Raw genomic sequence first — 20,098 nt, forward strand, 5'->3', positions numbered from 1 at the left:
GCATGGTGGTGCATGCCTATAATCCCAGCTACTCGAGAGGCTGCAGCAGGAGAACTGCTTGAACCCGGGAGGCAGAGGTTGTAGTGAGCCCAGGTTGTGCCATTGCACTCCCGCCTGGGCAACGAGAGCAAAACTCCGTCTCAAAAAAAAAAAAAATTAGCCAGGCGTTGTGGCGCGTGCCTCCTGTAGTCCCAGTTACTTGGAAGGCTGAGGCACGAGAATCCCTTGATCCCAGAAGATGAAGGTTGTAGTGAGCCTAGGCAACTGAGCGAGACACCACCTCGAAAAAGAAAAAAAAAAAGATGAGAACACATAGAAAGAAGGCCACGTGAAAACAGAGGCAGAGGTCAGGCATGGTGGTACACACCTGTAATCCCAGGTACTCAGGTGGCAGGAGAATTGGCTGAACCCAGGAGGCAGAGGCTGCAGTGAGCCGAGATCGTGCACTGCACTCCACCCTAGGTGGTAGAGTGAGACTATGTCTCAATAAATAAATAAATAAATAAATAAATAAGTGTGGTTTGGGAGAAGATTCTGAAGGACAGAGTAAGAACTGGCATTTACCTGAAGACAGAAGTCACTATCCTGATTATGAATATAAAATTCCCAAGCTCCTCACCGCCATTACCACCATCACCACTGCCATCAGTGATGAGGGAAAGAGATCCGGGTGGGAGTCCCTACGCTAAGGCCGTAGTTCTGATTCACAGTCAGGTTTGAAACCACCTGCTTTACTGTCAGACTCTCACCACACAGCTTGCAAGTTTCAAGCAGAGTTATTTGTTCCTGCTGCTGCCTCAGACAGATAGAAGGGATTGGCCAAGTCTCCTCTAGACTCAGCCAACAACGACCATGTCTACGTCCATAAAATTTGAGAAGGATGCAAACAGGCTAAGTGTAGAAATTCCCTAGGGCCTTCCCTACTCTTCACCCTGGGCCAACCTCATAGAGTGACAAGGGCCAGGTAGAACTGACAGAGAACAGACGGAGCAGGCACTGTGGTTCTGGAAAACCTTTTACGGTGACAAAATGAAAGAACAAAATGCTCCTTAAATTATTTCACTTGCACACAACAGGGAGCTGTTGGGCTCACGTCAAGCACTCCCTAAAGAGGAATTTTGAAAACGGCCACAAGACCTAACAAGGGAACTTTCAAATCTTGCAGCTCAGTATCATAAACTCACAAAAATCTGACCATCTTCAAGCCTCCGCCTAAAACACAGAAGCATGTGGTTATTACAAACCAAAGACTAATCATAAGCTCTGTCTAGGGCTCTGTTGTCCAATCCTCATGCCTCTGGTTGTCGGTCCATCTGTGTTCCTTGAATCCTAACGCGGAGAACTGTGACCAAGGTTTAATGAAGGAGAAAAATCTAGTCTGTCTCAATAAAAGAATTAGCAGCAACAACGCCAGTGTTGATTTTTTAAATCTTCCAATTTATAATTTCTTTTTCATGCATTATTAATGACTGGCATGTCAGGCTTGCTTCAAAAAAACAAAAGATCAAAGTCTTTGTCATGGTACCCACAACATGCAGTGATCAAGAGGCAACATCTCTGTATAATGTTTCAAGGTCAGTGAATGTCACATTGAAACTAATCAATTCCAAAAAATGTGCAAAACAAAAAAAAAAAGACATTGTTGCCTCACTAATAAGCTGAGCATATTTGAATTTTTGACACTTGTGCTCAATGAATCAGGAGATTTGGACCTAAAATAAGACAAACTACCCTTCTCCCCCACCCTCCCAACATGTAAGGACCATAACACATAGAACATTATAATTCAGAAATAATTTTTATGTGAATTACTATCCCATTTGAGCATTACAATACTATGAATTAGCCACTATTATTACCTCTTTTTTACAAATGAAGAAATGCTGCAGAAATTAAGAAATTAACAGATGTGTTTCCTCACTTGTTCATCACCTGTCTCCTAAGGTCATTCTGCTCAGTGGCACAGATGCGAACACAGGTATTGTGATTCCAAAGTTCATCTCTTTTCACTAAATTTAATATTAAAACTTAGGAGATAGCACTCATCAAGATGAAAAACATCAGTTCTGCTACTACAAGAATGACCTACATATGTATGGCATCAAGAGCTCACATAGCACAAATACAAAACTGCCTGTGTATCAGGCTTCAGCTGTGAAGGTAGGTGTGCAATTACCATTAGTCCAATCAGGAATAAAGAGAATGACGATCTACAAGGTTAAGTGACCTTTCCAAGGTCAAAGAAGTGGTGGCACTCGAAGGCCGGGCGCAGTGGCTCATACCTATAATCCCAGCACTTTGGAAGGCTGAGGTGGGCGGATCACCTGAGGTCAGGAGTTCGAAACCAGCCTGGCCAACATGGTGAAACCCCGCCTCTACTAAAAATAAAAAATTAGCCGGGCATGGTGGCGGGCGCTTGTAATCCCAGCTACTCAGGAGGCTGAGGTGGGAGAATCGCTTGAACCCAGGAGGCGGAGGTTACAGTGGGCCGAGATCGCGCCACTGCACTCCGGCCTGGGTGACAGAGCAAGACTCCATCTCAAAAAATAAAAAAAAAAAATAAAGCGAAATCATTCTCTCCAGTTTCTTTTTTTTTTTTTTCTCTTCTAACACATTTCTGTTCAGGCACAGGCACAAAGAAGATACCTAAATTCAACCATAATCAAAATTTGCCAGTTAAGTTAAAACTGGAAGGGAAACAAGTGAGTTGATGGTAATTTTTTTTTTTTTTTTTGAGACAGTCTCGCTCTGTCGCCAGTCTGGAGTGCAGTGGCGCAATCTCAGCTCTCTGCGACCTCTGCCTCCCAGGTTCAAGCGATTCTCCTGCCTCAGACTCATGAGTAGCTGGGACTACAGGCGCCCACCACCACGCCCAGCTAAATTTTGTATTTTTAGTAGAGACGGGGTTTCACCATATTGGCCAGGATGGTCTCAATCTCTTGACCTTGTGATCCACTAGCCTTGGCCTCCTAAAGTGTTGGGGTTACAGGCGTGAGACACCGCACACGGCCGATGGTAATTTTTAAAGGGTGTTTGAAAAGTGTCACTAAAATGGGACAGGACATCTGAGATGGGTAAAAAGGGACATGAAGGCAAAGTAGCGCTGACAGTGAAAAGGAGTGACGGCAACGGATGAAGGGCTGCTGCAGCGACGACACTGGATGCTCAGATGTGCATGCAAATCTCCCCAGGATCTTGTGAAACTGCAGCTTCAGCTTTCTTACACTCCCAGGGGATATTAATGCTGCCATTTTGAGGACCCTCCACCTCTATGAATAGCAAGGGGTCAAAGGATAGGAGGTGGTGGTTAGAGTGAGAAGATTCATCCCTTTGACCACAGGATGGAACTCAGAGGCCTGAGTATTGAAAGGACTGCTGGTAGGACTGCCCATGTCTATATTTGGAGGAGGAGGTGTTGACAGTAAGAAGGAAGGAAAAGTGAAAAGGAATGAAAGGAAGAGAATGAAGTCAGTGGATGTCGGCTGCAGGAGGGGTAACAGGTGGCAGCGCTTGAAAGGATCTTGAATGTTTGAAGGATGGAGAAATAGTAACATATCAGCAGGAAACAACATGGTCAGCTACCCCATGTACCTTCCCCTGAGGAGCCCCCTTCAGAGGGGTGAAGAGCAGTATCTTCAGAGGCCATCCAAGTTTTAGCATAACAAGGAGGGAAAGAGAATGCAGAGAAGAGGCTGGTGATAGACAAGTTTCATGTTCACAACTTGAATTGCAGAGGTCAAGAGTTTAAAGAGTTTGGGATGGAAAGAAATCAAGAATTGGGCTCGGCCGGGAGCACTGGTTCACACCTGTAATCCCAGCACTTTTGGAGGCCAAGGCAGGCGGTTCACCTGAGGTCAGGAGTTCGAGACCAGCCTGGCCAACATGGCAAAACCCCATCTCTACTAAAAATACAAAAATTAGCCGGATGTGGTGTTGCACGCCTGTAGTCCCAGTTACTTGGGAGGCTGAGTTAGGAGGACCGCTTGAACCCAGGAGACAGAGGTTGCAGTGAGCCGAGATCACACCACTGCACTCCAGCCTGGGCAAGTGCAAGACTCCATCTCAAAAAAAGAAAAGAAAAAAAGAAAATACATCAAAATGAAGAAATGTTAAGTATGTGTTGCCAAACTAAAAAGAAGTATAGTCCAAAAAGTCTAGAAAAAGGAAGCTATGAAGAAAACGTCTATTGACTAATGGGAAAAGGTTCTCTTGAAAAGAGACAGTGAGTCCGTGGAGCAGGTACACCATTGTTATGGAAAAGGTTTGTCAGGATCACAAAGCTGGATAAAAATAGGCATTTGGATAGTCAAGTCAGTGTTCCAAAATTCTATGCTCAGATTACAGTTTAGATTTTCAACAGTGACCAAAGAGAATAGTGTCTTTTTGGCATTTCTCTGATTATAAATACACGGTTATTTTTTATAAACTACAATCTCTCAATTTGTGTGATTCAAGAATCTAATCTTTGAGTAAACGATTTTTTTAAAAAATGAGATTCTGGCTGGCACAGTGGTTCACATCTGTAATCCCAAGACTTTGAGAAGCCGAGGCAGGAGGATCGTTTAAGCCAAAGAGTTTGAGACCAGCCCTGGGCAATATGTCTCAAAAAAAAAAAAAAAAAGAGAGAGAGATTCTGAGCTTACAAAGCTGACGGTAAGATCATCCTGCCAATCGTGACTTGGTTTTTTTAAGATAGGGTCTTGCCCTGTTGCTCAAGCTGGAGTGCAGTAGCACGATCACAGTTCACTGCAGCCTCTAACTCCCAAGCTCAAGTGATTCTCCCACCTTCGCCTCCCATGTATCTAGTACTACAGGTACATGCCACCACACCCAGCTAATTTTTAAATATGTTTGTAGAGATGGGGTTTCTCCACATTGCCCAGAATGGTCTTGAACTCCTGGGCCCAAGGGATCCTCCCGCCTCAGCCTCCCAAAGCACTGGGATTACAGGCGTGCACCACCGTGCCCAGCCTCTGACTTTCATTACTATAATACAGTGGTTCTCAAAGTGTGGTCGGTGCACTCCCAGGGAACCTTTGAGACTCTTTTAGAGAATCAAAACTATTTTCATAATAATACTAAGACATCATTTGCCTTTTTCACTATGTTGACACTTGCACTGATGGTACAAAAGCAATGGTGGATAAGAACTGTACATGCTGTTTCAAGGCAATGGAACCAAACTGCACTATTCTTTTCTGTATTTTACATCACAAGTGCTTGTGGAGGCGGGGGGGAGGACTACTGTCACTTAAGAGTGTGATGAAGCATTTCATAAAGGAGATAAATAATTTTGTTAAATTTCAACCCTTGAATACATGCCTTTTCATATATATATATATATATATATATATATATATATATATATATATTTTTTTTTTTTTTTTTTTTTTTTTTAGAAACAAGGTCTTGCTCTGACACCCAGACAGGAGTGCAGTGGCACGATCACAGCTCACTGTAGCCTCAACCTCCTGGACTCAAGCCATCCTCCCGAGCAGCTGAGACTACAGGCACACACCACCATGCTTGGCCAAATTTTTATTTTTTTGTAGAAGTGCGGTCTGCTATGTTGCCCAGGCTGGACTGGAACTCCTGGGCTCAAGCGATCCTCCTGCTTCAGTCTCCCAAAGTGCTGGGATTAAAGGCGTGAACCACTGCACCTGGCCTATTATTATTTCTAATGAATTAATATTTTTAAATATTCTCAAGTTTTAATTTCTAATATGGTAAATATTAACAGCTATAACATACATAAACAAAAGCTCTTTAGAGATCTCATTCGTTTTTAAGAATGTCAGAGGGCTGGGTGTGGTGACACAGTTCAAACTTGTGTTATTCAAGAGTCAACTATACATAAAACATGCATTTCTATAAAGCAGTCATCAGAAGCACTGGTTCTACAGCAGAGGTTCTCAAAATGTACAGAATCGGCATCACATGAAAGTTTGTTAGAAATGCAAATCCCAAACCTACTGAAACAAACTCTGAGGGTAGGCCAGCTATTTTTTTTTTTTTTTTGAGATGGAGTCTCACTCTGCCGCCCAGGCTGGAGCGCAGTGGCGCGATCTCGGCTCACTGCAAGCTCCGCCTCCCGGGTTCAGGCCATTCTCCTGCCTCAGCCTCCCAAGTAGCTGGGACTACAGGCACCTGCAACCACGCCCGGCTAATTTTTTGTATTTTTAGTAGAGACGGGGTTTCACCGTGTTAGCCAGGATGGTCTCCATCTCCTGACCTCATGATCTGCCTGCCTCGGCCTCCTAAAGTGCTGGGATTACAGGCGTGAGCCACCACCCGGCCAACTATCTGTATTTTAACAAGCCTTCAGGCTATTTGGATGCTGAAGTTTATTATTGTTGCTGTTGTTTCAGAGACAAGGTCTTGTTTTATCACCCAGATTAGAGTGCAGTGACACAATGGTAGCTCACCGCACCCTTTGAATTCTGGGCTCAAGTGATTCACGAACCCCAACCTCCTGAGTAGCTGGGACTACAGGCGTGTGCGACCAAGTCCAGGTAATTGTTTTTTATTTCTTTTTTGTAGAGACTGGGTCTCACTGTGCTGCCCAGGCTGGTTTTAAACTCCTAGGCTCAAGTAATCCTACTGCCTCGGCCTCCCAAAGTGCTGGGGTCATAGGCATGAACAACTGCACCCAGCCCAGATGCTAAAGTTTGAGAACCACTGCTAAGTTATTCATCAAGAAGTAATCTGAGGTTCAACTTCTCAATGATATGGACATAAATCACCTACACAACTGACTTCCCCAACACCTCTACAGCAGCTTCCCCTCCTCCATGTTTTCAAGGCTGGGGGTCCCCTTTGCTTCGAATGTCCTTTCCAAGTCTTGTGGTCTTCAGGTGCTGAAACTTGGCTCAAGGGCAAACTCAGGCATTCATCTGCCCCACAAAACTTACTCCAGTCCTTGCAATGAAAATCTGTTCATCCTTCCACTACCCATGGCAAGTCTGTGCCCCTGCAATAGCCCCTTGCACACTTGGCCATGTGTGTAGCTCACAGATTCCACCACACTAGAAATCTCTCAAGGGAAGAAACTGTATTTTAGTCACCTTTATGTTTTACCCAGCACTTTATAAACAATGTTTACTAAATAAAATGAATGAGAAAAATAGTCTGAAGTATTTAAATGACTCTACAAACCAGCTGAGGTATATCCAATACCAAACCAAAATTACAGCTGGTGCTTGCTACAGATGACACAAAACTATATGACAGACATCTAAGCCCAAAGAATTTATAAAGGGCCGGGTGCGGTGGCTCACGCCTGTAATCCCAGCACTTTGGGAGGCCAAAGCCGGCGGATCACTTGAGGTTAGGTGTTCGAGACCAACCTGGCCAACATGGCGAAACCCCGTCTCTACTAAACATACAAAAATTAGCCGGGCGTGGTGGTGCATGCCTGTAGGCCCAGCTACTTAGGAGGCTGAGGCATGAGAATTGCTTAAACCCAGAAGGCAGAGGTTGCAGTGAGTCGAGATCGCACCACTGCATTCCAGCCAGGAGAGCAGAATGAGATCCTGTCTCAAAAAAAAAAAAAAAAAAAAAAAAAGAATTTATAATGTAGTTGGGGAGAGATACAGTTTGGATATCTGTCTTCTGCTAAATCTCATGTTGAACTGTCAACACCAGTGCTGGAGGGGGGGCCCGGTGGGAGGTGTTTGGGTCATGGGGGCGGATCCCTCATGGCTAGGTGCTGTCTTTTTGACAGTGAGTTCTTGCAGGGTGGGTCATTTAAAAGTGTGTGGCACTTCCTCTCCCTCATTCTCTTTCTCGCTTCTGGAACAGGTGCCATGTGACGCGCCTGTTCCCCCTTTGCCTTCCACCATGATTAGAAGCTTCCTGAGGCCTCCCCAGAAACAGATGCTGCTATGCTTCCTCTCCAGGCTGCACAACTGTGAGCCAATTCAATCTCTTTTCTAATAAATTACACAGTCTCAGATATATATATATATATATATATATAATATATATATACACACATATATATACACACATATATACACACACATATATATACACATATATACACACACATATATATATACATATATATATATATATATATATATGTATATATATATATATTATTTTTTTTTTAAACGGAGTCTCGCTCTGCACCCAGGCTGAAGTGCAGTGGCACAATCTCGGCTCACTGCAACCTCCACCTCCTGGGTTCAAACGATTCTCCTATCTCAGCCTCTCCAGTAGCTGGGACTACAGGTATGCGCCACCACGCCCAGCTAATTTTTGCATTTTTAGTAGAGATGGAGTTTGGACATGTTGGCTAGTCTGGTCTGGAACTCCTGGCCTCAAGTGATCCGCCCACCTCGGCCTCCCAAAGTGTTGGGATTACAGGTGTGAGCCACTGCACCTGGCATCATTTGCTTTTAAAAGTCATGTAATCTTGCTTTCCAAACTATAATGTGACAAAATATACCTACACATTAACCCCTAGAATCCACTGTTGAAACCATTGACTGACACCACGGCTAGACCATTTTTTTTCAAGTCAAGAACCATTTGTATAATGTTTATCTCTCTTCTGCCAGATGAGGTATGAAAAAAAAAAAAGAATAAAATGTTTATCTCTAGAACTTAAGTCACTTCCAAAGAGTCAAAAACAGCTACTGCTTTGCTTGTACTCCCTCGAATATGAGAAGCAGGGAGATCTACTTCAAAGCCCCAACTACGCACCAGGGAGTAGGGCTCCATGAACAGATTGCTCAGCCATACAATCACTTCTCTTCCTGCTCATAAAAGGTTTACACTTCCGGCTCGGTGTGGTGGCTCACACTTGTAATCCCAACACTTGGGAGGCCGGGACAGGCAGATCACTTGAGGTTGGCAGTTTGAGACCAGCCTGGCCAACATAGCGAAACCCCGTCTCTACTAAAAATACAAAAATTAGCCAGATGTGGTGGCGGGCACCTGTAATCCCAGCTACTTAGGAGGCTGAGGCAGGAGGAATGCTTGAATCCAGGAGGCAGGATCTGCAGTGAGCTAAGACCATGTCACTGCACTCCAGCCCGGGTGACAAAGCAAGACTCCGTCTAACAAAAAGAAGAACAAGGCCAGGTGCAGTGGCTCACGCCTGTAATCCCAGCACTTTGGGAGGCTGAGGCAGGTGGATCACCTGAGGTCAGGAGTTCAAGACCAGCCTGGCCAACATGGTGACACCCCATCTCTACTAAAAATACAAAAATTAGCTGGGCATAGTGGCGGGTGCCTGTAATCCCAGCTACTCGGGAGGCTGAGGCAGGAAAATCGCTTGAACCCAGGAGGCGGAGGGTGCAGTGAGCTGAGATCGCGCCATCGTACTCCAGCCTGGGGCACAGAAGCGAGACTTCGTCTCAAAAAGAAAATAATAAATAAAATAGTAATAAGAACTTCATGTCAGCTTTAGGACATGAAAAATAAATGACATTTGGGATGTCAAATTTAGTATTCCTGAAAGTAGGACTATTCTTCCTCCCAACAACACAAAAATGTGTTCTACCCTTCATAAAGTCAAGATTTAGTATTTAGCGCGTTAGATACTGTCATAGCCTCAATGCCTGGAAAACACCAGCACCTGGGGGATGTTTCAAATAGTTGGAACACCATTTGAATGCACCACCACCAGTCCATACAAGAATCACAAATGTTAGTTGTATCACTAATTCTAAGAATCCAAGCTCCTCATTTTCCTCTCAGATATCACTTCTTATCACTACACATTATTTGAACAGTAAATTACATAAAAATCTGTCTTCCAAGCCAGGCACAGTGGTTCACACCTGTAATCCTAGCACGTTAGGGGGCTGAGGTGAGAGGATTGCTTAAGTCCAGGAGTTTGAGACCAGCCTGGGCAACACAGTGAGACCCCCATCTCTACAAAAAAATACAAATTAACTGTGTGTGGTGGATCACGCCTATAGAGCGAGCTACTCAGGAGGCCGAGGCAGGAGAACGGCTTGAGCCCATGAGGCCAAGACTGCAGTGACCTATGATTACACGACTGCACTCCAGCCTGGGCAATAGAACGAGCCCCATCTCTAAAAACAAAACAAAAGAAAGAAGGAAATCTGAGGTTGGGTATACATACAGTTCAAGACCATAGCCTTCTCAAAACATAAAAATATGCTTTCTGTATTTATTCCTTTTAATAAGCAATCCCCTATAACCTGCCTCATTAAGGTAAGAATATTCAAAATATCCACATAAGGAAAAAATTGACTTGTGGTAGAAGAGAGTGAGTGAGTTACCAGGATCTTGAATGAAAACAAAACAGGGCCCCAGCAATGAATCCCAAAGTTTGGTGGTGAAGTTAGTGCTGTACAACACTTCACGCAAAGCACAGAGGGCAGTCACTGTTCCAGGAGCCCCAGAAAACCACCATGGCAAGCCGGCTCGAGAATCACTCCCACTCTAATGCCCGCTACCACTCAGACACATCTCAGTAACTACCCTTCCGTGAAAGAGATCTTGCAAGGTGAATGTGAATTCAAAGGTTAAAGATTCACTTCTATTCTCCCTAATAAGAATACATACTAAAAGCACAAAAATTGTTTTTTGGTTTTTTTTTGAGACAGGGTTTCATTCCTGTTGCCCAGGCTGGAGTGCAGTGGCCCACTCTCAGTTCACTACAACTTCCACCTCCCAGGCTCAAGCAATCCTCCTGCCTCAGCCTCCCGAGTAACTGGGACTACAGGCACACACCACCACCCCCGGCTAATTTTTGTATTTTTAGTAGAGACAGGGTTTCGCTATGTTGGCCAGGCTGGTCTTGAACTCCTGACCTCAAGTGATCCACCCACCTCGGCCTCCCAAAGTGCTGGGATTACAGGTGTGAACCACCACACCCAGCCAGAAATGTTTTTAATAATGAAACTTGATCTAAAGAAGTTATATATTGTCCCTGTGGCTAAAATTCACTGCAGATTGGCAATCTTGTTTTTTTTTTTTTTTTAGATGGAGTCTCACTCTGTCACCTAGGCTGGAGTACAGTGGCATCTCGCCTTACTGCAACCTCTGCCTCCTGGGTTCAAGGGATTCTCCTGCCTCAACCTCCCAAGTAGTTGGGATTACAGGCGTGTGCCACCATGCCCAGCTAATTTTTTGTATTTTTAGTAGAGACGAGGTTTCACCATATTGGCCAGGAGGGTCTCGATTTCCTGACCTCAAGTGATCTGCCCGCCTCGGCCTCCCAGAGTGCTGGGATTACAGGCATGTGCCACCATGCCCAGCCAGACTGGCAATTTCAAGTTCTTACAACTTATGTGTACAGGATGGCTCATTTCTACAAAGCTATCTTAAAGACAACCCAGTTAAAGAGAGACATTTGAAAGGGCATACACCTAGTGGACCCATAAAGGGCTCTTAGTCTCTAAGAAAGTGTTTTAAGAGTCTAGATCTTGGCTGGGCACGGTGGCTCCCACCTGTAATCCCAGCACTTTGGGAAGCTGAGGCAGACAGATCACCTGAGGTCAGTAGTTCGAGACCAGCCTGGACAACAAGGTGAAACCCCCATCTCTACTAAACTACAAAAATTAGCCGGGTGTGGTGGTGCGCACCAGTAGTCCCAGCTATTCAGCAGGCTAAGCCAGGAGAATCACTTGAACCTGGGAGGCAGAAGTTGTGGTTAGCTGAGATCAGACCACTGCACTCCAGCCTGGGTGACAGAGTGAGATTCTGTCTCCAAAAAAAAAAAAAAAAAAGATTCTAGGTTTTATGTATTTAAGAAAATAGGGACATGTGACTGTTTCGGAGGGGGAAAAACAGAGAACACACAGGGCAATGCTTTTAAAAGCACAGTCTACTTCAAAAAACAGGATGTGATGTCTCTCTGACACTGACATGCTTTATGGGTGCAAAGCAATAAGAAAATTATTATTTGGGAGGTGGTGCATCATCTCTCCACTTAAACTCACAGTCAAACTTAGAAAAAAGTTCCATTGTTTACGTACTGCATTACTTAAATAAAAGATGAAAAGGGGCCGGGCGTGGTGGCTCACGCCTGTAATCCCAGTACTTTGGGAGACTGAGGCGGGCGGATCACTTGAGGTGAGTTTGAGACCAGCCTGGCCAACATGGTGAAACCCCGTCTCTACTAAAAATACAAAAAAATCAGCTGGGCGTGGTGGCACGTGCCTATAATCCCAGTTACTCTGGAGGCTCAGGCACGAGAATCGTTTGAAGCCGGGAAGCGGAGGTTGCAGTGAGCCAAGATTTCGCCACTGCACTCCAGCCTGGGCAACACAGTGAGACGCTGTCTCAAAAAAAAAAAAAAAAAAAAAAAAGATGGAAAGGGACAATTTATCAAGTGTTTGCACCCAGAATACAGAAACACAGGGTTTTCTAAGTTTTTATTTACTTAAAGGGACAATCCTTTAGGCCAGGCACAGTGGCTCATGCCTGTAATCCCAGCATTTTGGGAGGCCGAGGTGGACGGATCACGAGATCAGGAGATCGAGACCATCCTGGCCAACATGGTGGAACCGCATCTCTACTAAAAATACAAAAATTAGCTGGGTGTGGTGGTGCGCGCCTGTAATCCCAGCTCCCAGGAGGCGGAGGTTGCAGTGAGCCGAGATTGCATCACTGCACTCCAGTCTGGCGACAGCATGAGACTCCGGCTCAAAAATAAAAAAAAAGAAGGACAATCCTTTAAAAAGTTAATATTAACCCTCAGAGACTAGCTTTCTGAATATCTGTACGAACCAACACCTTTTCTTCCAACTCCAACTGAAACAGGTATAAACAGCACAAGGCAAAATAATCAAAAACAGATGGTGACAACTTCTCGATTGTGATGCATCTGAATTGAGACCTCTGGGTCATAAAGAATTTCTGCCACTGATAACCTAGTCTAATCATTTCAAACTGTTACTTTTTCACAGAAGAAAAAACTTTATGTTTATTTGCAGAAAAAATGGATAGTAAATTCCGTAGCAAATAGAGCTACTGACTAATCACGTACACACAGTAAAAACACTTTCTATTCAACTGTGGAGTTTTCTGCCTTTAAAAGTCCTGCCAGAGGATACTCACAATAATTTTCTCATCATTATACGATCTCTTTCAGCAAAATAAAGAGGGCCTGGTGTCAATGTCTTTACTTTTTATCTATAAGAAGTTGAAGAAAATCAACACAAATCTAGAATATGAAAATAGTACCTCATGGTGTCTGTAGAATCGGGGCAGGCATCAGCTCATATCCTGCCAGAAGCTGGGCAAACATTTTGAACAGCCTGGCTATGAGGTCATGACAATGACCTCACAAACAGGAATTCTCATGTTAGTCGCCCTCTGGGCTGAAGCCTCACCACTTTAAAGGAATCTGGAGCTGATGACTCAAGAAATGTCCTTCCTCCTAAGAAATTATCCTCCCATCTGAGATTAGCAGCATCTAATCTCAGTTTTCTCCACTGCTGACCAGCATCAGCAACACAGGTAAGCAGAGACAAGCAAGTCCACCTAAATAGCTGAACACCAGTCATGTACGCATATCTGTATTACCTGCAAACTTCTGGTACGCAAGTTTTTATTTTGGTTCGGTTCCAAACACTTTTTCTTAGTATTCTTTACTGGAGGATTGGGCTACATTTAAGCATCCCCGCCAGGCGTGGTGGCTCACGCCTGTAATCGCAGTACTTTGGGAGGCCAAGGCAGGCTGATCATGAGGTCAAGAGATAGAGACAACCCTGGCCAACATGGTGAAACCCCGTCTCTACTAATACAAAAATTAGCTGGGCATGGTGGTGCGTGCGTGTAGTCCCAGCTACTTGGGAGACTGAGGCAGGAGAATCTCTTGAACCTGGGAGGTGGAGGTTGCAGTGAGCCGAGATCGTGCCACTGCACTCCTGCCTGGCGATAGAGCAAGACTCCATCTCAAAAAAAAAAAAAGAAAAAGGAAAGAAAAAAGAATCCTGATAACTGAGTAGAAAATAAATCATAAACTTAAAATGTTACCCTTGCCATCCTAATAAACTATTGAGTTCACCAGCCCCAATATTTACCCTGTTTACTAAGGAGAAGTGGAGATTAAGATGTCTAAGTCATTTTGAAAATGCCAGAAGAATAAAGCCTCGGGACAGCTCCGGAATAGCCCTGTGTATCTTTGTGAGGAAAAGGCAAAATGGCCAGGCTGTTGTTTCCTCCCTCTTAAGAGTTTTGAAGTTTGCAAGCCAGCACAGAGTAAGAATTAGTGACATTTTATTATTTCTAAGTGCTTAAAAATTCTGAAATTGAAGGGAACTGTAACAGGGACTCAGAACAATTATCTCAATGGAATCACTGGTAATTTTTATCTGTGTTTTCTTGGGTCTATAGAAATTTTATTTAATGAACAGGTATAATTAATTTCACAGGCAGAAAAAAAATTCTTTTGAGCCACAGTAAAACGGCTTCAACCGAAAGAGTGAAGAAACAGACTCTACTGAGCTGCTTTCTCCACAGAAACAAGAGTGCAGTACAGCCAAGCCAGGATGGAAGTGAATACATATGGAGAGGGGGAGAGGGTGGCTAGCTGTTCACCAAGACTTTTTTGTTGTTGTTTATTTTTTTTTTTTTGAGGCAGAGTCTTGCCCTGTTGCCCAGGTTGAACTGCAGTGATGCACTCATGGCTCATGGCAGCCTTGACCTCCCAGACTCCAGCCATCCTTCCACCTCAGCCTCCCAAGTAGCTGGGACTACAGGCAGACACCACCACACCCGGCAAATTTTTTTTTTTTTTTTTTTTTTTTTTGTAGAGATGGGGTTTTACCATGTTGCCTAGGCTGGTCTTGAACTCCTGGGTGCAAGCGATCCACCAACCTTGGCCTCCCAAAGTGCTGGGATTACAGGCGTAAGCCACCGTGCCTGGCCTCTTTTTCTTCCTGGATTCACACCATATTTCCCAGCTCCCGCTACAGTTCAGTATGATCACGTGACTGAGTTCTAGCCAGTGGAATAAGTGTGTGAGGCATGTGCCACTCTAGGCCTAGCCCAGAGGAACCTACTGTGTACAATCCCCCATGCTCTTTGCCCTTCTGATGGCTTGATGGAGACAAGCCCAGCAACCTCGAAAGCATGTACTGAAGACAACAGAATCAAAAGATGGAAGAGTTCAGGCGTGTGGCTCATGCCTGTAATCCCAGCACTTTGGGAGACCAAAGTGGGTGGATCATCTGAGGTCAGGAGTTTGAGACCAGCCTGGGCAACATGGCAAAAACCTCTCTCTACAAAAAAATACAAAAATTAGCCGGGCATAGTGGTGCACGCCTGTAATCTCAGAGGTTGCAGTGAGCCAAGATCACACCACTGCCCTCCAGTCTGGGCGACAGAGCCAGACTCCATCTCCAAAAAAAAAAAAAAAAAAAAAAAAAAGGAAGAAAGAAGTCTAGACACCTGAATCACCTCTCCCCATTTTCCCATCAGTAAATATGTATCCTAAACTTTTCCAAAACTGAAAATCAACTTATCGGCCACGCATGGTGGCTCACACCTATAATCCCAGCACTTTGGGAGGCAGTCCGATCACAAGGTCAGGAGTTCGAGACCAGCCTGGCCAACATGGTGAAACCCCATCTTTACTAAAAAAAAAATATAAAAATTAGTCGAGAGTGGAGGCGCATGCCTGTAATCCCAGCTACTCAGTAGGCTGAGGCAGGATAATCGCTTGAAGCCAGGAGGCAGAGGTTGCAGTGAGCCAAGATTGTGCCACTGCACTCCAGCCTGGGCAACAGAGTGAGACGCCGTCTCAAAAAAAAACAAAAAAAAAAGAAAATTAACTTATCAGTTTCAGCCACTGAAATAAGTGGGCTTATATGGTATAGTGGCAAGCTTATTTTATGTAATACAGTGGCAAACAGATAAAAACTTTGCTTAGAGCTTTGAATCATCTTGGCCAAGTAAATTCCTCAAATAAATTAATTTTAAGGGACTGGGCTTGGTGGCTCATGCCTGTAATCGCAGCACTTCGGAAGGCCAAGGCAGCCGGATCACCAGAGGTCAGGAATTTGAGACCAGCCTGGCCAACATGGTGAAACCCTGTCTCTACTGAAAATACAAAAAAAAAAAAAAAAAATTAGCTGGTCGTGGTGGCAGGCGCCTGTAATACCAGCTACTTGGGAGGCTGAGGAGAATAGCTTGAACCCTGGAGGTGGAGGTTGCAGTGAGCCGAGATCACGCCACTGCACTCCAGCCTGGGCGACAGAATGAGACTCCACCTTAAAAAAAAAAAAAAAATTAATTTTAAGGACGAGCCTCTAAGATTGAAATGCTTTATATCACAAAAAGCATTATAATGTGAATAATTAAAGTACTATATTTTTATAAAAGCAGAGACATTTTACTCGTAAGAACAAAATATGTTTTTAAAACACACAAGTTTGCCCAGGCATGGTGGCTCACACCTATAATCCCAGCATTTTGGGAGGCCAAGGCAGGTGGATCACTTAAGTCCAGGAGTCTGAGAGCTGCCTGGGCAACATAGTGAAACCCCATCTCTAAAAAAAAAAAATTTTTTTTAATTAGCCGGGCATGGTGGCGCCTGCCTGGAATCCCAGCTACTTCGGAGACTGAGGTGGGAGGATCGCTTGAGCCCAGGAGATTGAGTCCAGCCTAGGCAATATTAGCAAGACTTTATCTCTAAAATCTTTTTTTAAAAAGTTTAAGAAAAAAAGACACTTATTATAGAAAATATATATTTTAATAAAATCTAATCCCCCTTCCTCCTGACCAGATATCCAAAAAAAAAAAAAAAAAACCTTAAGCAATTTACAGAAACAAGAGGTTCCACAAAACAAGCAGTTCCCAAAAACAAGAATGGTGAAAATTATGTTCATACAAAAAGCAGTAATATTCTTCATATTCTCATCTGATTTCTTAAGGTTATGTTTACTCCTATTTTTTAAATGTCATGGTTCAAATAAATAAAAAAGTATGAACAGAGAGCTGGACTAGGAAGTGAGACACCTAAATTCCACCCCAGTTGGATGACCCTGAACAACTCACATAACCCCTTCCCCGGCTCAGTATTCCCAACTTCAACCTGAGGACACTAATTAAATAAGATCTGTTTCTAACTCCATACCTTCACAGTTCTAGTCCTGTTTTGGGTATCAAATCCAAATCCTGTAAGCAAAAGGTCAAGGATTCAGAAGTGAAAGGAAAGACTGTGGCTCTAACTTTGCCAAAGTGAAAAGTACAGACCTCTGCCATCAGTGAAGAAAGAACCCAGATCTGATAAGAGCTTCAAACAGGCTCAGCACCTCCTGGCACACATAGAGCGGCATCACGTTGCCCCAAGAAAATCACATCTCTACACATCAGACCCTTTCCAGTCCATTTTGCCCCATCCACAAAATGAAAATGCCACTTTATTTACTAAATCTAAAAATTCTGTTGGGAGGCAAAGGAGAGTTGAAGAATTTGCAATGAATTTAACCTGCCAGGAGAGGGAGTTTAACACCAAGCTTCCAGAAACAGGCTGCGTGGTAGCTACAACGTCCAGAAACCCAGGTTTCAACGCGGCCCTGCTTCAAGACCCAAAGGAAATTCAGCACCAGGCGGGTGAAGTGACTTACCTGTGCACAGCTGCACTCGCAGACTTCGGAGCCCCCACCTAATTCTAAAATGCTGTATGTCCATGAACTTAATAACAGAAGGTCAGGGGAGAGACGTTCTGAGAGCAACGGAAATCTATCTTAAGATAAAGATGTTTCTGAGGCTGATTTTTCAAGTCAAACTTGAGAGAGAAATTCAAAGGCTATGTTCTCATATCATATTCCTGGGTTTGGGAGGTTCATTCACAGCTTAATCCTGTCCCCTGAAGTCACGGTTACGTAAGTATGCTGTGTCACTTGCTGTCCCCACCCCCAACACAGGAGATGCAGTGTAACCTGAGCTCCTCGGCTTGAGCCACTGAAAACACTTACACAACGCTGGGACCTTTCCAAATTGACTTGTTTCCCCTTAAGAAAGGGCAAGCTATTTGATTTTCTTCCTTCCACTTCATTCACATTCATATTTCTGTATATACAGAAGAGACTGAAAAAGATAAATAAGATTGAAGGGCATTTGCAAATTTTCTTCAATTCTTGAGTAAAACAAAAAAGTCAACTATCCAATGTCACGGAAAAGTAACCAAAAAAAAAAAAATTATGGGCCTGCTTAGCCCCAATTTAAAAACATCACATCTCCTGGCTGAACTGAGCTTAAGGTCCTTGGACGGGCTTCATTTCCCACGTACTGGCTGTTTCTAGAGCCAGGCCCCATACGCTACTGCCACGCGCAGCATACTGCCACACAGAAGGGCTTTGGGGGCACATGGGAAATGGCTCTCCAAGAACACAGGAGACACATCAGCAGTCTCTTCTGACTACTCTTCTTGCCCTCTCTTCCTTCTCTGGACTACTCCAGCTACTGGGCAGCTTCGATTACGGAATGATGACTCACACGCATTCCTGTCTTGTTTGCATATCATGCTATGACTAAGCTCCATGAGATTTGATTTGTCTTCGCATCCAACGAATCTAAAAAAGTTTGATACACAGTAAGAGTTCAAAAAAGTTCTCAAGTGAGTCAACAGCAAAACAAGAATCCATAAAATTATGCAAAATGATGCGATTTTCAAACTAAAGCATCAAGTAACTGTATCTTACACTCTAAACACTTGATAAACACAGAAGCATTACAGGGTTTCCCAACTCCGGATCCTTTTTTTTTTTTTTTTGAGACAGTGTTTCACTCTTGTCGCCCAGGCTGGAGTGCAGTGGCGCGATCTCGGCTCACTGCAACCTCCGCCTCTCGGGTTTAAGCAATTCTCATGCCTTAGCCTCCCAAGTAGCTGGGATTACAGGCACGTGCCACCATGCCTGGCTAATTTTGTATTTTTAGTAGAGACAAGGTTTTGCCATGTTGGTCAGGCTGGTCTCGAACTCCCGACCTCAGGTGATCCGCCCGTCTTGGCCTCCCAAAGTGCTGGGATTACAGACATGAGCCACCACGACTGGCCTGGATCCTTTTCTAAAAAGTGGGCCAATGAAGGGTGGGTATGGTGGTTCACACCTGTAATCCCAACACTTTGGGAGGCTGAGGTGGCAGGATGCTTTGAGCCCAGGAGTTCAATACCAGCCTGGGAAACTTGGTGAGACCTCATCTCTAATTATTAATGAACAAATTAATAAAAAGTAGGTCAATGGGCCGGGCACGGTAATCCTAGCACTTTGGGAGGCCAAGGCGGGCAGATCACTTGAGGTCAGGAATTCAAGACCAGCCTGACCAAAACGGCGAAGCCCCATCTCTACTAAAAATACAAAATCAGCCAGGCGGCGTGGTGGCACATGCCTGTAATCCCAGCTACTCAGGAGGCTGAGGCAGGAGAACTGCTTAAACCTGGGAGGCAGAGGTTGCGGTGAGCAGAGATGGCGCCATTGTACTCCAAGAAAGTAGGTCAATGAAGCTATGGGCAAACTGTTCAATTACTACCTACAATGAGTGCTATTTAACAGGTATGATCTCGGCTGGGCATGCTGGCTCATGCCTGTAATCCCAGCACTTTGGGAGGCCAAGGCGGGAGGATGACCTGAGGTCAGGAGTTCAAGACCAGCCTGACAGACATGGTGAAGCCAGTCTCCACTAACAATACAAAATTATCCAGGTGTGGTAGCACATGCCTGTAATCCCAGCTACTCGGGAGGCTGAGGCAGGAGAATCACTTGAACCTGGGAGGTGGGGGTTGCAGTGAGCCGAGATTTTGCCATTGCACTCCAGCCTGGGCAACAAGAGCAAAACTCCCGCTCAAAAAAAAAAAAAGTGTGAGTCTCAAATTAGATAATTACATTTGTTGACAGTATTATACTTTCTAGACCAGCACTGTCCAGTAGAAATACAATGCAGTACAAATGTATAATTCTGAATTTTCTAGTATCCATATTTTTAAAAATGAAAAAGAATCATGTGAAATTAATTTTCATGATATAGTTTATTTAGCCCAGTAGATTTAAAATATTATTTCAAAATGTAATCAAGGGCTGGGCACGGTGGCTCATGCCTGCCCAAGTGGAAGGATCACTTGAGTTCAGGATTTCAAGACAAGCCTGAGCAACATAGTGAGACTCCA

The 20,098-nt window shown here is 44.2% G+C and overlaps 1 protein-coding gene and 1 long non-coding RNA gene across 25 annotated transcripts in view, besides 9 other annotated features; one reads left to right on the plus strand and one right to left on the minus strand.

Moving 5' to 3' along the window:
* The window catches only part of CLIP1 (CAP-Gly domain containing linker protein 1), a 151,488-nt gene that overhangs the window by 110,751 nt on the left and 20,639 nt on the right, over positions 1-20,098 (minus strand). For 4 of the 24 annotated variants that reach the window (XM_047429317.1, XM_047429315.1, XM_047429311.1 and 1 more), the window contains exon 1: positions 17,913-18,384. The exons of 16 other annotated variants lie outside the window; for them this stretch is intronic. The gene's annotated coding sequence lies outside the window, so the exon portion shown is untranslated. Of the gene's footprint in view, positions 1-17,561; positions 18,385-20,098 lie in introns of those variants that run through there. 4 more of the 24 variants (XM_047429316.1, XM_017019789.2, XM_047429310.1 and 1 more) reach the window with 1 other exon arrangement.
* Positions 2,521-3,154: an enhancer, noted in NCBI's record as "H3K4me1 hESC enhancer chr12:122869287-122869920 (GRCh37/hg19 assembly coordinates)". NCBI's record gives its function as "activates a minimal SCP1, AML or CMV promoter by ChIP-STARR-seq in primed H9 embryonic stem cells {active_cell/tissue: H9 hESC(primed)}" and the evidence as "EXISTENCE:reporter gene assay evidence [ECO:0000049][PMID:30033119]".
* Positions 3,789-4,420: an enhancer, noted in NCBI's record as "NANOG-H3K4me1 hESC enhancer chr12:122870555-122871186 (GRCh37/hg19 assembly coordinates)". NCBI's record gives its function as "activates a minimal SCP1, AML or CMV promoter by ChIP-STARR-seq in naive H9 embryonic stem cells {active_cell/tissue: H9 hESC(naive)}" and the evidence as "EXISTENCE:reporter gene assay evidence [ECO:0000049][PMID:30033119]".
* Positions 13,323-17,725, plus strand: CLIP1-AS1 (CLIP1 antisense RNA 1). Its single transcript, NR_045382.1, has 3 exons — positions 13,323-13,446; positions 14,364-14,486; positions 17,077-17,725. It is a non-coding gene; the product is annotated as a CLIP1 antisense RNA 1 (long non-coding RNA).
* Positions 17,740-17,799: an enhancer, noted in NCBI's record as "active region_7215". NCBI's record gives its function as "activates an Ori minimal core promoter by ATAC-STARR-seq in GM12878 lymphoblastoid cells {active_cell/tissue: GM12878}" and the evidence as "EXISTENCE:reporter gene assay evidence [ECO:0000049][PMID:35858748]".
* Positions 18,268-18,317: an enhancer, noted in NCBI's record as "active region_7216". NCBI's record gives its function as "activates an Ori minimal core promoter by ATAC-STARR-seq in GM12878 lymphoblastoid cells {active_cell/tissue: GM12878}" and the evidence as "EXISTENCE:reporter gene assay evidence [ECO:0000049][PMID:35858748]".
* Positions 18,338-18,397: an enhancer, noted in NCBI's record as "active region_7217". NCBI's record gives its function as "activates an Ori minimal core promoter by ATAC-STARR-seq in GM12878 lymphoblastoid cells {active_cell/tissue: GM12878}" and the evidence as "EXISTENCE:reporter gene assay evidence [ECO:0000049][PMID:35858748]".
* Positions 18,338-19,040: a biological region, named in NCBI's record as "H3K27ac-H3K4me1 hESC enhancer GRCh37_chr12:122885121-122885806".
* Positions 18,355-19,040: an enhancer, noted in NCBI's record as "H3K27ac-H3K4me1 hESC enhancer chr12:122885121-122885806 (GRCh37/hg19 assembly coordinates)". NCBI's record gives its function as "activates a minimal SCP1, AML or CMV promoter by ChIP-STARR-seq in primed H9 embryonic stem cells {active_cell/tissue: H9 hESC(primed)}" and the evidence as "EXISTENCE:reporter gene assay evidence [ECO:0000049][PMID:30033119]".
* Positions 18,418-18,467: an enhancer, noted in NCBI's record as "active region_7218". NCBI's record gives its function as "activates an Ori minimal core promoter by ATAC-STARR-seq in GM12878 lymphoblastoid cells {active_cell/tissue: GM12878}" and the evidence as "EXISTENCE:reporter gene assay evidence [ECO:0000049][PMID:35858748]".
* Positions 19,041-19,726: an enhancer, noted in NCBI's record as "H3K27ac-H3K4me1 hESC enhancer chr12:122885807-122886492 (GRCh37/hg19 assembly coordinates)". NCBI's record gives its function as "activates a minimal SCP1, AML or CMV promoter by ChIP-STARR-seq in naive H9 embryonic stem cells {active_cell/tissue: H9 hESC(naive)}" and the evidence as "EXISTENCE:reporter gene assay evidence [ECO:0000049][PMID:30033119]".

Source organism: Homo sapiens, chromosome 12 (genome assembly GCF_000001405.40).
Source record: "Homo sapiens chromosome 12, GRCh38.p14 Primary Assembly".
Lineage (NCBI taxonomy): Eukaryota > Metazoa > Chordata > Mammalia > Primates > Hominidae > Homo > Homo sapiens.